The 13,117-nt window shown below is 46.1% G+C and overlaps 1 long non-coding RNA gene across 2 annotated transcripts in view, besides 1 other annotated feature; it reads right to left on the bottom strand.

Annotated features, from left to right (window-relative positions):
- The window catches only part of LOC105376413 (uncharacterized), a 70,155-nt gene that overhangs the window by 24,816 nt on the left and 32,222 nt on the right, over window positions 1-13,117 (bottom strand). For both annotated transcript variants that reach the window (XR_007062054.1, XR_930662.3), the window contains 3 exons: window positions 9,094-9,198; window positions 8,809-8,929; window positions 7,718-7,846 (listed from right to left, as the gene is read on the bottom strand). This is a non-coding gene — a long non-coding RNA (uncharacterized LOC105376413). The remainder of the gene's footprint in view (window positions 1-7,717; window positions 7,847-8,808; window positions 8,930-9,093; window positions 9,199-13,117) is intronic.
- Window positions 3,678-3,747: an enhancer, noted in NCBI's record as "active region_3020". NCBI's record gives its function as "activates an Ori minimal core promoter by ATAC-STARR-seq in GM12878 lymphoblastoid cells {active_cell/tissue: GM12878}" and the evidence as "EXISTENCE:reporter gene assay evidence [ECO:0000049][PMID:35858748]".

Below are 13,117 nucleotides of genomic sequence, written 5' to 3' on the forward strand. Positions count from 1 at the left end.
AAGGACTGGCATACTGGCATACGCTGCAACACAGTGACTCTTGCAAACATTAGGCTATGTGAAAGAAGGCAGACGCAAAAGACTGAATATTATATGATTACACTGATATGAAATGTCCAGAATGGGCAAATCCATAGAGACAGAAAACAGATTGGTAGTTGCCAGGGGCTGGGGGAGGGGAGGAATGGGAAGGTGACTGCTAATGGGGACAGGATGCCTTTTTGGGGTGATAAAAATGTTCTAAAATTGATTGTGATGATGGTTGCACAATCTTGTGAATACAGTAAAAACCGTTTAATTGTGGACTTTATCTTTTTTTTTTTTTTTTGAGATGGAGTCTCACTCTGACGCCCGGGGTTGGAGTGCAGTGGCGTGATCTCAGCTCACTGCAACCTCTGCCTCCCAAGTTCAAGTGATTCTCCTGTCTCAGCCTCCCGAGTAGCTGGGATTACAGGTGCCCACCACCATGCCCAGCTAATTTTTTTGCATTTTTAGTAGAGATGGGGTTTCGCCATGTCGGTCAGGCTGGTCTCAAACTCCTGACCTCAAGTGATCTGCCCACCTTGGCCTCCCAAAGTCCTGGGATCACAGGTGTGAGCCACTGCACCAGTCAAATTGTGCACTTTAAATGGGTGAATATAAGGTATGTGACTTTTATCTCAAAAAAGCTGTTACACACAAAAATACCTCTGGCTGAGGGGAAAGAGGGAAAGGAAGAAGTTGGTGGGAAGAGGAAATGAACTGTGAGACTCAGAGAAAGCAGAGAAAAGGAAAAAACGTTCTTGCGAAAATAAGGCTTCTCACCCAGTTCCTAAGAAGAGAGCTGTGTCTAAAGTATGTTCTGGAAATTGCAGGCACCAGCAGGAGCAGGGGGGAAAAAAGGAAAGCCTAGCTCAATGCTCAATGCTGCAAAAGTAGAAAATGGACAAAGGGAAGAGCCAACAATGAAATCAAACACACCAGAGTGAGCCGTCAGACACCAGGAAGCAGAGCAGAAGCAGCAGCCAGGGACAGAGTGGCAGGAAAAATCATTTTGAAATAAAAATGAAACTGGATGAGGGAGCCCACTCTCTTTCTTCTGGCCTCTTCTCTTTTTTTCTTTCCCAATACACACAAGCTTGTTCACCCCTCTCCTCTCCATTCTCTCTCCGCCCCTCACTCCCCACTCATTACCCCTATTCTGGCCCTGACCCTTCCTGTCCACCAGGGACCACCCATGCGATCTTCCCAGAGAGCCCACCTCCCTCATTCTGATTGACAAGCTCAGGACATCACAGCCTCGAAAACCCACACAGCGGGTCAGCAGTGGCCCTGGGGACTGGCACAAGCTTCCACCACCACCAACACCCAGCACCTGTCCAAGCACCCCAACACAAGGGCCGGCAGCCCAAAGATGGGGTGATTCATGGATGCAGCCAGCAAGAAAGCACCTTCCATGGCAAAACCCTGTCTCTACTAAACATTAAAAAAAAAAAAATCAGCCAGGTATGGTGATGAGCACCTGTGGTCCCAGCTACTCAAGCGGCTGAGGCAGGAGAATCACTTGAACCTGGGAGGCAGAAATTGCAGTGAGCTGAGATTGCCCCACTGCACTCTGGGCGACAGAGCAAGACTAGGTATCAAAAAAAAAAAAAAAAAAAAAACATTGCTAGGTGCAGTGGCTCACACCTGTAATCCCAGCACTTTGGGAGGCCGAGGCCTGTGGATCACCTGAGGTCAGGAGTTCAAGAGCAGCCTGGGCAACATGGTGAAACCCCATCTCTGCTAAAAATAAATAAATAAATACAAAGAGATTGCACACTGCATTCCAGCCTGGGTGACAGAGAGAGATTCAGAAAGAAAGAAGGAAGGAAGGAAGGAAGGAAGGAAGGAAGGAAGGAAGGAAGGAAGGAAGGAAGGAAGGAAGGAAGGGAAGGAAGGAGGGAAGGAAGGAAGGAAGGAAGGAAGGAAGAAGAAAGAAGGAAGGAAGGAAGGAAGGAAAGAGAAAGAAGGAAAGGAAAGAGAAGGAAAGAAAGAAAGAAAGAAAGAAAGAAGGAAGGAAGGAAAGAAAGAAAGAGAAAGAAGGAAAGGAAAGGAAAGAAAGAAAGAAAGAAAGAAAGAAAGAAAGAAAGAAAGAAAGAAAGAAAGAAAGAAAGAAAGAAAGAAAAGAAAGAAAGAAAGAAAAGCTTCACAGTGCTACTGGGAAAAGCTCCTTGGCACAGGACACTTGGTGACTTGCAAGGACAGACAGTGTCTTGAAGCCGGCTCCTTCCACTTCCTCCCTCCTGCCCCCAACACACAGCTGGCCGGGGCCCGAGACCCTGAGGCAGGAAGTCTGAGCTCTATTTTTCACCTCTGACATGTGGTCTGGGGCAGATCCTCTAAACCCAGGGCCCACTTCCCACCTGTATTCATGCAGCAACTTGTTCTTCCGGGTTGCTCAGCCTGGCAGACCTCATGCTCACTGGTACAGATTCCCATCTTATGACGCTGAAACTTGAACGGGGAAACCCACATGTCCTTGTCTCCAGAATCTCCCAGTCACAAAGCGAGTCCCTGGGTCAGGCTGGATGGAATACCTATGTCTCAGTCAGTCCCCTGACCCAGGCCTTATCAAACAGACACGGGGAATTGTCAGGGTGACACTTTGATAGTGTCTTGTGAAGGGCTTGGAGGAAGAACATAAGGCTACAAAAGGTAACATAATCGTCTACTCAGACTTTTCTCTTTTTTCTTTCTTTTTTTTTTTTTTTTTTGTTTTGAGACGGAGTCTGGCTCTGTCGCCCAGGCTGGAGTGCAGTAGCACGATCTTGGCTCACTGCAACCTCCACCTCCTGGATTCAGGCAACTCTCCTGCCTCAGCCTCCCTAGTAGCTGGGATCACAGGTGCATGCCAGCGCCACCATGCCTGGCTAATTTTTTTTTTTTTTTTGGAATTTTTAGTAGAGATGGGAGTTTCCTCATGTTGGCCAGGCTGGTCTCACACTCCTGACCTCAAGTGATCCTCCCGCCTTGGCCTCCCAAAGTGCTGGTATTATAGGCATGAGCCACCACGCCCGGCCCAGACTTTTTTCTTACAAAGGAACTCTAAATGGTGTAAATTCACTCTTTTAAAAGAAAACTCTGACATGAAGCAAGGTGCACTGGCCATATAAAGACTTGAGAGTCCAGGAGGGCCCAGGGATGGGAAAAGACGCTTCACTCTTAATGTTGTATTTGGTTTTGGATGACAAGTCTCCCAAACAGAACTGTGATGACTTGACACCACTAAAGGGGTGACTTCACTCCTATTCATTCAGATATGTGCGATGGCAACTCATTAAGGACTCATAGTGACCTACCTGGCTTTGTAAATAGGATCTGCATTTCCAGCACTATCCATCAACTCAGATCTACTAAGGAATCATGCCCATGAAAAATTAAACGTTCAACTTCTGAAAAGGTTTTAAAAAATACTTTCAATTTAATCTCACCCCTACTCCACCCATCTTTCACCAAGTTCAAGGGATAAGTACAAGAAACACATGAAGGAATGATTTCCTGTAGGATTACACCACCAGGAAGCATTTATTAGGTTCCTAATTGCTCATGGTTCTGTGCTAATCACTGTATAAATAGAACTGTGTAGAACTGGTCTCGGTCTCTCTCTCTCTGGCTTTCAAGACTCTCCCTTGTAAGGTAGACAACAGTCACCTGGACCAACAGGTTCAGGACATAACGAGAACATATGGGAACTTAAAGCATCCCAGTGACTAGACACTGAAGCGTTTACCTGATCAGTGTCAGAGCATTTTAGGGGTGGGGAGCCAGGGAGGAACACACCAGACAGGGGTAGCTGTTGGGTTTCCTAGGGCCGCTAGGGCTCAAGCACGATACTCCCCACACCTCTGAGAAGATCCCCAGGCAGAGAAGGCTGCGGTGGGGGGTTAGGTTGCAGAAAGGAGGGAGGAGGTTTAGGGGTAAACAGCTGGACTGGAGTGGGAGGAGGCAGAGAACAGGTGGCAAGGGTGTGGCCAGGAGAGAACAGCAAGCAACGAGGGCCCCTGCCCAAGAGACAGAAAGGGGACAGCACGGAGAGCAGCTGTTGTGGGCGCCCCACCCACGCCTCCAACCCAAGGGCTTTCTCAAGCCATCCCACTGTGCTCGGAGACGTAAGTGGGTTCTAGAAGACTTGTGGTTGGTGTGAGTGGGCGAGCAGAGGGTCTAGGTAAGGGTGAAAACATTCCGACTGGAAGGCAAGAGGGCAGGGCATGACCGGCCTGTTCTGCTCAGAGGGAGGGCTGGCAAATGACAGCATCAAAGGCACAGGGGAGAACACATCCTTAGATCTGCTCTGGAGGAGGAGAAGACCTCAGGGAAGCCCTTGGCATTTCTACAGGTGAATGAAAACCACACAGAAGGGTGACCTGAGTGCTCTAGATTGCTGCTGAGCAGTGCGCTGACTTTCCTTTAGAATCAGGCCTTGTGAAAGGAATTGGGGCGAGTGGTCAAACCTGACTTACCATCATCCCGCCTCAAAGCAAAAGGGAATTCTGTCATTAAAAAACCATCAAAAAAGCAGCAGTTCTTCTTAGATCTGTAAGAAAAGTAAGGTCGCAGGGCAAACCACTGCCCCAAAATTGGAGAGACAGGAGAATACAGAGAATTGCAATTGACCATTGCAGAAGCCCAGGAGCAGAAGGAGGAAAACCGAAACCGTGATTGATGAATTGCCGGAGGCTGGGCATGGACAAGCCTAAGGGTTCAAGCTCTGGGGACCCGGTCCCAGGGAATCCCCACACTTTTGTGAGTTTACTTCCTGGAGCGTGGCAAGGTTGTCACAGTGAATATTAGAGAAAATTTCCTCATGCTTCCAGCAGGGAGAGGGAAAAAGGAGTCATTCTGAAACACACCAGAACTGCGACTTCTTCTTCTTCCCCTTCTTCTTCGTCCTCTTCTTCTTCTTTTTTTTTTTTTTGAGACAGAGTCTCGCTCTGTTGCCCAGGCTTGAGTGCAATGGCACGATCTTGGCTCACTGCAATCTCCGCCTTCCAGGTTTAAGCAACTCTCCTTCTTCAGTCGCCTGAGTAGCTGGGATTACAGGCATGTACCACCATGCCTGGCTAATTTTTGTATTTTTAGTAAAGACAGGGTTTCACCATGTTGGCCAGGCTGGTCTCCAACTCCTGACCTCGTGATCCACCCGCCTCAGCCTCCCAAAGTGCTGGGATTACAGGTGTGAGCCACCATGCCCGGCCTCCTCCTCCTCCTCCTCCTTCTCTTCCTCCTCCTCCTCCTTCTTCTCCTTCTGCTTCTTCTTTCTTCTTCTTCCTTCTTCTTTCTTATTTCTTCCTCTCCTTCTCCTTCTTCTTCTTCTTCCTTTAGACAAGGTCTTGCTCTTCTTCATAGCTCACTGCAGCCTCAAAATCCTGGGCTCAAGGAATCCTCCCACCTTAGCCTCCCAAGTAGCTGGGATCATAGCCATGCACCTCCAAACCTAGCTAATTTTTTAACTTTTTTAAAGAAATGGGGTCTGATTATGTTGCCCCAGCTGGTCTCAAACTCCAGGCCTCAAGCGACCCTCCTGCCTGGGCCACCCAAAATGCAAGGATTATAGGTATGAGCCACCACACCCAGCTGCATTCTGTTCTTAACAACATCTGCCCTTAGGAGAAACTAGATAGCCAGAGCCTAACCTACCTAGAGGAAGGGAAATACCCAAGTCTAGCCCCTTCTAGCAACCTGTCCCCTTTAAGGCTGGGGGGACAACCCAAACTGAAAAACACTTGTAAAGTCCAGGGACATAGGCTCACCAAAAGACCAAGACCCAATATAGGACTATACAGACAACTTCCCCTCTTTAACACCTTACCATTGCATTACTAAATGCCCGTTTATCCAAGTTCCTTTACATCATGTCCACCTCTCAACCAAAAATCTTGAGGCATCCCAAAAGATCAAACTAACAAACACAGCCTGAAGAGACTGAACAAGCAACAGAACCAGAGTCAGATATGGCAGTAATGTTGGAATTATCAGACCAGGAATTTAAAACCACTAGGATTAATATGCAAAGAGCTCTAATGGAAAAAAGTAGACAACATGGAAGAACAGATGGTAATGTAAGCAGAGTGATGGAAAAATCTGGAAAACCACCAAAAGGAAATGCTAGAGATCAAAGACACCAAAACAGACATGAAGACTGCCTTGGATGGGCTCATGAGTAGAATGGACATGGCCAAGGGAAGAATCTCTGAACTTGAGGACATGGTGATAGAAACCTCCCAAACTGAAAAACAAAGAGAAAAAGGATAGCAAAAGTCATCCTATTTCGTGGTTAATGACTACAAGCTTTCCAAACCATTTTAGATCAGGGACAGGACCCCCAGTTCCACTGTAGTCTAGAACCCAAAAAAGAGGCATCAGGTCTAAATGAAACATGCCCTCAGCCTGCGGGGCAGGACACTGGTTTTGTGTCTCCTGGCCCCAGCAGAATTTACCCTTGGTGAGACACCCAGGTAAAAAGCACCTTTTAGGAGGGGGCTGGTCCTAGAAGCATTTCCGTTTCAACTCCCTCAAACAACACACATATTTCTGTAATTATGCGTGCACACATTTGCTGAAATAAAAAAAACAGGCAATCTTAGTGAGAAATAAAAGATAGAGGGGATGTGTGTTTGAAAGTCAACACAGATTTAAGAATATCATGGCAATTCACACAAGAAAATACTAATGGTGAATGCAGTTGTTCAATCCCACTAATTCCCATAGAAATGCCAATTATAGTAAATGATGGGATATGATGTCTGTCCAAAGCAGAGTGGTAAAGATTTCAAAATTGTCCATATCCAAGGTAGAGAAATATGTTCTCTCCTATGCACTGTTGATCTATACTTATACCACTTGTTTTGGATGGCAACTGGGCACTATCCATCTTTATTAAAAGTCCATGCCTTTAACCAGCAATTCACTACCAGGTATCTGTCCTGGTTTCCATCTGTCCTAGAGAGCTACTCAGGTGTGTGCACAAACCATCAAAAAATGTTTATTACAACGATGTTTAAAATATAAACAAAAATAGAAACAATTTACATAGCCATCATTAGGGAGACTGGTTGAATTCCAGCAGTAAAATAAAGAATGAAAATGTAGGCCAGGCACGGTGGCTCACGCCTGTCATCCCAGCACTTTGGGAGGCTGAGGCAGGCAGATCATGAGGTCAAGAGATCAAGACCATCCTGGCCAACATGGTGAAACCCTGTCTCTACTAAAAATACAAAAATTAGCCGGGCGTGGTGGCGGGCACCTGTAGTCCCAGCTACTCGGGAGGCTGAGGCAGGACAATTGCTTGAACCTGGGAGGTGGAGGTTGCAGGGAGCCAAGATCACGCCACTGCACTCCAGCCTGGTGACAGAGAGAGACTCCATGTCAAAAAAAAAAAAAAATGAAGATTTATATGGAAAAGACCACATAAATGGTTTTAGGGAAAGACATATCGTTAACTGAAAGCTGTACGTTGTAGAACACCACAGAGAGCATGACATTATTTATGTAAATGTCTGCAGAAAACTATATACATCTGTATATAAATATGGTCATGTAAATGCAGACAAGAAAATCTGGACAGATTAAACCGAACTGAAAATAGAATTAGGAGGAAGTGGGCTGGTGGCTGGGGAAGTGTTTGAGTCCATTTGAGCTGCTACAGCAAAATACCACAGAATGGGTAAATTATAAACAATAGAAATTTATTTCTTACCATTGTGGAGGCTGACAAGTCCAAGATCACAGTGCTAGCCTGTTTAGTATGGCAAGGGCTTGGTCTCTGCTTCCAAGATGGCGCCTTGAACACTGTGTCTCCTGGAGGGGACAAACACTGCGTCCTCACCTGGAAGAAGGGATGGAAAAGGGAATGAATCCACTCCTTCACACCCTTTTATAAGGGCCCTAAGTGATTGAATCACCTCCTAAAGGCCCCAACTTTTAATACTATCACATTGGCTAGTAAGTTTCTACATAAGACATGAGCGCAGTGGCTCACACCTGTAATCCCAGCACTTTGGGAGGCTGAGGCAGGAGGACTGCTGAGACCAGCCTGGGCAACATAGGGAGACCCTGTCTCTACAGAAAATTTTAAAAATTACCCAGGCCCCAGGTGGTGCATGCCCGTGGTCCCAGCTACTTTGGAGGCTAAGGTGGGAGGATCGCTTGAGCCCAGGAGTTCAAGGCTGTACTAAGCCATGATTGAGCCACTGCATTCCAGCCTGGACAACAGAGCGAGACCTTGTCCCCCAAAAAAAAAAAAAAGTTTCTACATAAGAACCTTGGGGGACAGTTTCAGACCACAGCAAGAATCAAGGGAGATTTTTGTCTTTATCTGCAATGAATTTTTTTTTTTACGAGAGTGTATTCATGTGTTAAACGTTCAATTAAAAATGAATTTTAAAAGAATGGGAAAAAGGAACAAGAACATCTGTCCTCTCATGAGCCAGACAAATAAATAGATAGAATGACTGAGGGATTGTAAGTGGGGAAGGATGGAACTTCTTCCCAAAGAATGGGCCAGTCCTCTCCCTCACCCACTCCACTTCCAGACCATTTGACCCTTGGGTCTATCAGCTGGAGGCTCCGGCTATCTACTTGGAAACAGCGTAGTATCCACTAACATCATCCAGACCCTCTCAGAATGAGGAATTCACAGGCCCAGGGTCAAGGATTCTGGGAACTAAGTGGCCAGGATCCTCACTGGAACACGACCATCTGTAGTTCAAAAGCTCAATTCCAAGTCCTTTATCTGGGGAGTTTCATTACACAAAGAACACAAAACACTTCACCGCAGCACAGCTCAACCTTAGTGGGTCCACGGCATCTGTGGTTTTCAAAAGGGGACTCTGGAACAGTTTGAATTTACTGAACTGGCTTCTGAACAAGTCATCCAGGAGAGATTTTGCGAACGCAGCTTCTCCCAGGCCTAGAATTGACATAGAAAGTAACACTGGGTCAGGCTGAGAAAACAAACAAACAAACAAACCAGAAGACTAGGGAAAGGAAGAAAGCTGGAAATAAGAAGTAACAACATGTCAGGCTGAGTATCATTTTCCTCAGCAGTTTCGCTTTCACAGTTCACTCTCTCACCTTTTTGCTTTTCCAAATGAGAGGTTAAAATGGTGAAGCATAGAAGGGCCCTTCATCCTCACAGGATGTTTGACATAAAATATTGATCACAGAAGCCTTTGTTTTCTGTAGAGGGGAACAAAACAATATTTTTTCCTCTCTCTCCAGCGAACATGAATGTTTAAAAACTATTTTGCTTGGCCGAGCACAGTGGCTATGGCCAGGTTCAGCAGCTCCTGCCTGTAATCCCAGCACTTTGGGAGGCTGAGGTGGGAGGATTGCTTGGGCTCAGGCACTGAAGAACAGCCTAGGCAATATAGCGAGACCTTGTCTCTGCAAAAAATAAACAAAATCAGCCAGCATGGTGGTGCATGCCTGTGTTCCCAGCTATTCAGGAGGCTGCAGTAGGAGGATCCCTTGAGCCAGGGAGGTCGAGTATACAGTGAGCTGAGATTGTGCCATTGCACTCCAGCTTGGGTGACAAGCAGAGACCCCATCTCAAAAAACAGCAACCAACAAAACCTATTTTGCTGACAAAAATTACAATCACAGGCACACTAAGCCAAACAGCATCCCATTCCCTTCACCAGTAATTTAATGAATGGTGACTTTGCACAGAGGTTCATATTCAAGGACCTAGAATGCTTAAAATGCTATTATAGTCTTGACTCTATTGAAATTATAATAAGAAAATATGATGCGACGTCGAATCCTAGGTCTTGTAACAATTGGAAAAATGTTTTCTGTATTAGAATGTACCTACTGTGACCCACCATTTGTAGGTTCTTGGTAAATGACATAAAATCCAATTAAAATTCAGTTGTTGGAGCTGTTGAATCCACATACAAATATGTATATACACACATATGTATATGTATGGTGATAATTATTACATATTTTTGTATGCTTGAAACTTTTCATAATAAAAAATCAGAAAAAAATCTGTTTCTTCTTCCAAAATCTGTTTCAGATGATCTTTTATGATCGCCTTGTTCAGACCTTCCCTGACCACTGGCTAACAACTTCCCAGCAGGTGTCTCTGGCTTTCCCTGACTCCACTTTGCAGTCCAGCCTATATTTGGCAGCTGCGTAGCTCTTCTAAAACAAAGCTTTTATCTTGCCACTCCCAAGTCTCTTTGAGGCTCACCACAAAAAGTCCGCACGCCCCTGCCCAGCTTTCCCGGTTCTCAGCCTCCCACCCCTCCCTCCCACTTCATCCTAGTTCTCCAGGACCCACGGGCTGGGCTTCTCACCGACGTTTTATTTGCGCCTCTGCCTGTGGGGCACCCCACTGGGGGTATGGATCCCTGTGGCCTTCCGTTGTCTAAATTTGACCTGCTCCTGTTTCATCCAGAGTCTCACTTCCTCCATTCATTCCCCGGTTTCGGCATCGGAAGTCCAGACCGCAATCATCCAAACTCCTGCCACTTGAATGCAAATGGCATCTATCACATGCCAGGCACTGTTCTAGGCACTTAAGATACATCAGCGAATAAGACAGATAAACTTTGCAGAGCTTACACTCTAGTGGGGATGGGAGCAAGCCTAACTCATATCCACAATAAATAAGTGTATTATATACAAGCAGACCTCAGAGATATTGCAGTTCTAGGCCACTGCAATAGTGAATTATCACGATAAAGCAAGCCACTCAATTTTTTTGGTTTCCCAGTGCATATAAGAATTATGTTGATGTTTTACCAGAGTCTATTAAGTGTGCAATAGTATTATGTTTAAAAAACAATGTACATACTAAGTTAATTTTTAAAATACCTTATTGCTAAAAAAAAAAAAAAAAAAAAAAAGCTAACCATCATCTAAGCCTTCAGCAACTCTTTCAGCTGGTGGAGGGCTGCGGCTCGATGTTGACAGCTACAGACTGATTACCAATTTCTCCATAATCGGCAATAAGGTTGTTTTGCTTTCTGATCATTCATGGGTTCACTGGAGTAGCACTTTTAATTTCCTTCAAGCACTTTTTTTTTTTTTGAGACGGAGCCTTACTCTGTCGCCCAGACTGGAGTGCAGTGGTGCAATCTCGGTTCACTGCAGCCTCTGCCTCCCAGATTCAAGTGATTTTCCTGCCTCAGCCTCCTGAGTAGCTGGGACTATAGGCACGTGCCACCATACCCAGCTAATTTTTGTATTTTCAGTAGAAATGGGGGTTTCACTATGTTGGCCAGGCTGGTTTCAAACTCCTGGCCTCAAGGCCACCTCGGCCTCCCAAAGTGCTGGGGTTACAGGCGTGAGCCATCACACCCAGCCCCAAGAACTTTTTTTCATTCATAACTCAGCTAACTGGTTCAAGAGGCCTAGCTTTCAGCCTGTCTTGGCTTTGGACATGCCTTCCTCACTACGCTTCATCATGTCCAGCTTGCGATTTAAAGTGAGAGATGTACAACGCTCTTCCTTTCGCTTGAACACTTAGAGGCATCGTAGGGCACTAATTGGCCTGATTCGATATTTCTGTATCTCAGGAATAGGCAGGTGTAAGGAGAGGGAGAGAGACAGGGAGCGGCCATCAGTGGAACAGTCAGAACACACACAACATTTATCGATTAAGTTCCCCATTTTATGAGCACAATTCTTGGTGCCCTGAAACAATTACTATAGTAACAGCGAAGATCACAGACCACCATCAGAGATATAACAATAACGAAAAAGCTTAAAATACCGTGACAATTACCAAAATGGGACACAGGGACACGAAGTGAGCACATGGGTCTTGGAAAAACAGCACCAACAGGCTTGCTCCATGCAAGACTGCCACAAACCTTCCATTTTGTAAAAAGTACAATATCTGCAAAGCACAATAAAGGGATGCACAATAAAACGATGTGGGCCTGGCCGGGCACGGTGGCTTACGCCTGTAATCCCAGCACTCTGGGAGGCTGAGGTGGGTGGATCGCCTAATCTCAGGAGTTCGCGACCAGCCTGGGCAACACGGTGAAACCCCATCTCTACTAAAATACAAAAAATTAGCCGGGCATGGTGGCGTGTGCCTGTAGTCTCAGGTACTAGGGAGGCTGAGGCAGGAGAATTGCTTGAACCCGGGAGGCAGAGGTTGCAGTGAGTCAAGATCGCGCCACTGCACTCCAGCCTGGGTGACAGAGCGAGACTCTGTCTCAAAAAAAAAAAAAAAATCAAAACAAGAAAAACAACAACTAGGTGTGCCTGTGGTATGTGGGAAGATGTTAAGTCTATAAAAGAAGAAACAGTTGGGAAGGTCAAAGAGGATTTGCAAATGCAAAGCAGGAAACGTTTCGGGGTGGGGATTGCACTTTTTTTTTTTTTTTTTTTTTTAGATGGAGTCTCGCTCTGTCGTCCAGGGTGGAGTGCAGTGGCGCAATCTTGGCTCACTGCAACCTCCGCCTCCCGGGCTCAAGCCATTCTCCTGCCTCAGTCTCCCGAGGAGCTGGGACTACAGGTGCACACCACCAAGCCTGGCTGATTTTTGCATTTTTAGTAGGGACAGTATTTCACCATGTTGGTCAGACTGGTCTTGAACTCCTGGCCTCAAGCGATCTGCCCGCCTCGGCCTCCCTAAGTTTTCGGATCACAGGCGTGAGCCACCACGCCCAGCCGGATTGCAATTTTAAATAGCATAATCAGAGAGGCTTAATGGAAGAGGTAATATTTGAGGAAAGACCTGAAGAAGGTAAGGGAGTAGGCACTGAAGATATTGGGGGAACAGTGCTCCCCGAGACATCTGGGCAGCCAGGCACAGGGACCACAAGCAGAAAAGGGTCCTGTGAGGGTTTCGTGTTTTCTTTACAATTTGTCAATGTGAACACCATGCTCACACCAAAGAACAGCAAGTTTCCTACCTGGCTTCTCTGCCTTCCTCCTTCCTTCCCTCCCTTCCTCCCTCCTTCCTTCCTTTCTTCCTTTCTTCCTTCCGTTCTCCCTTTCTTCCCAATATGCCCCACTTCAATGGATGAGTTTTCCAGCTCCCTCGGCTGCTTTCTGCATTGCACATGACAAGTATCCACTAAATATTCATTCATTAGAAACAGCCAGACGATGCTGAGCCTCTGTAGCTCTC

Source organism: Homo sapiens, chromosome 10, assembly GCF_000001405.40.
Source record: "Homo sapiens chromosome 10, GRCh38.p14 Primary Assembly".
In the NCBI taxonomy this organism is placed as follows: domain Eukaryota; kingdom Metazoa; phylum Chordata; class Mammalia; order Primates; family Hominidae; genus Homo; species Homo sapiens.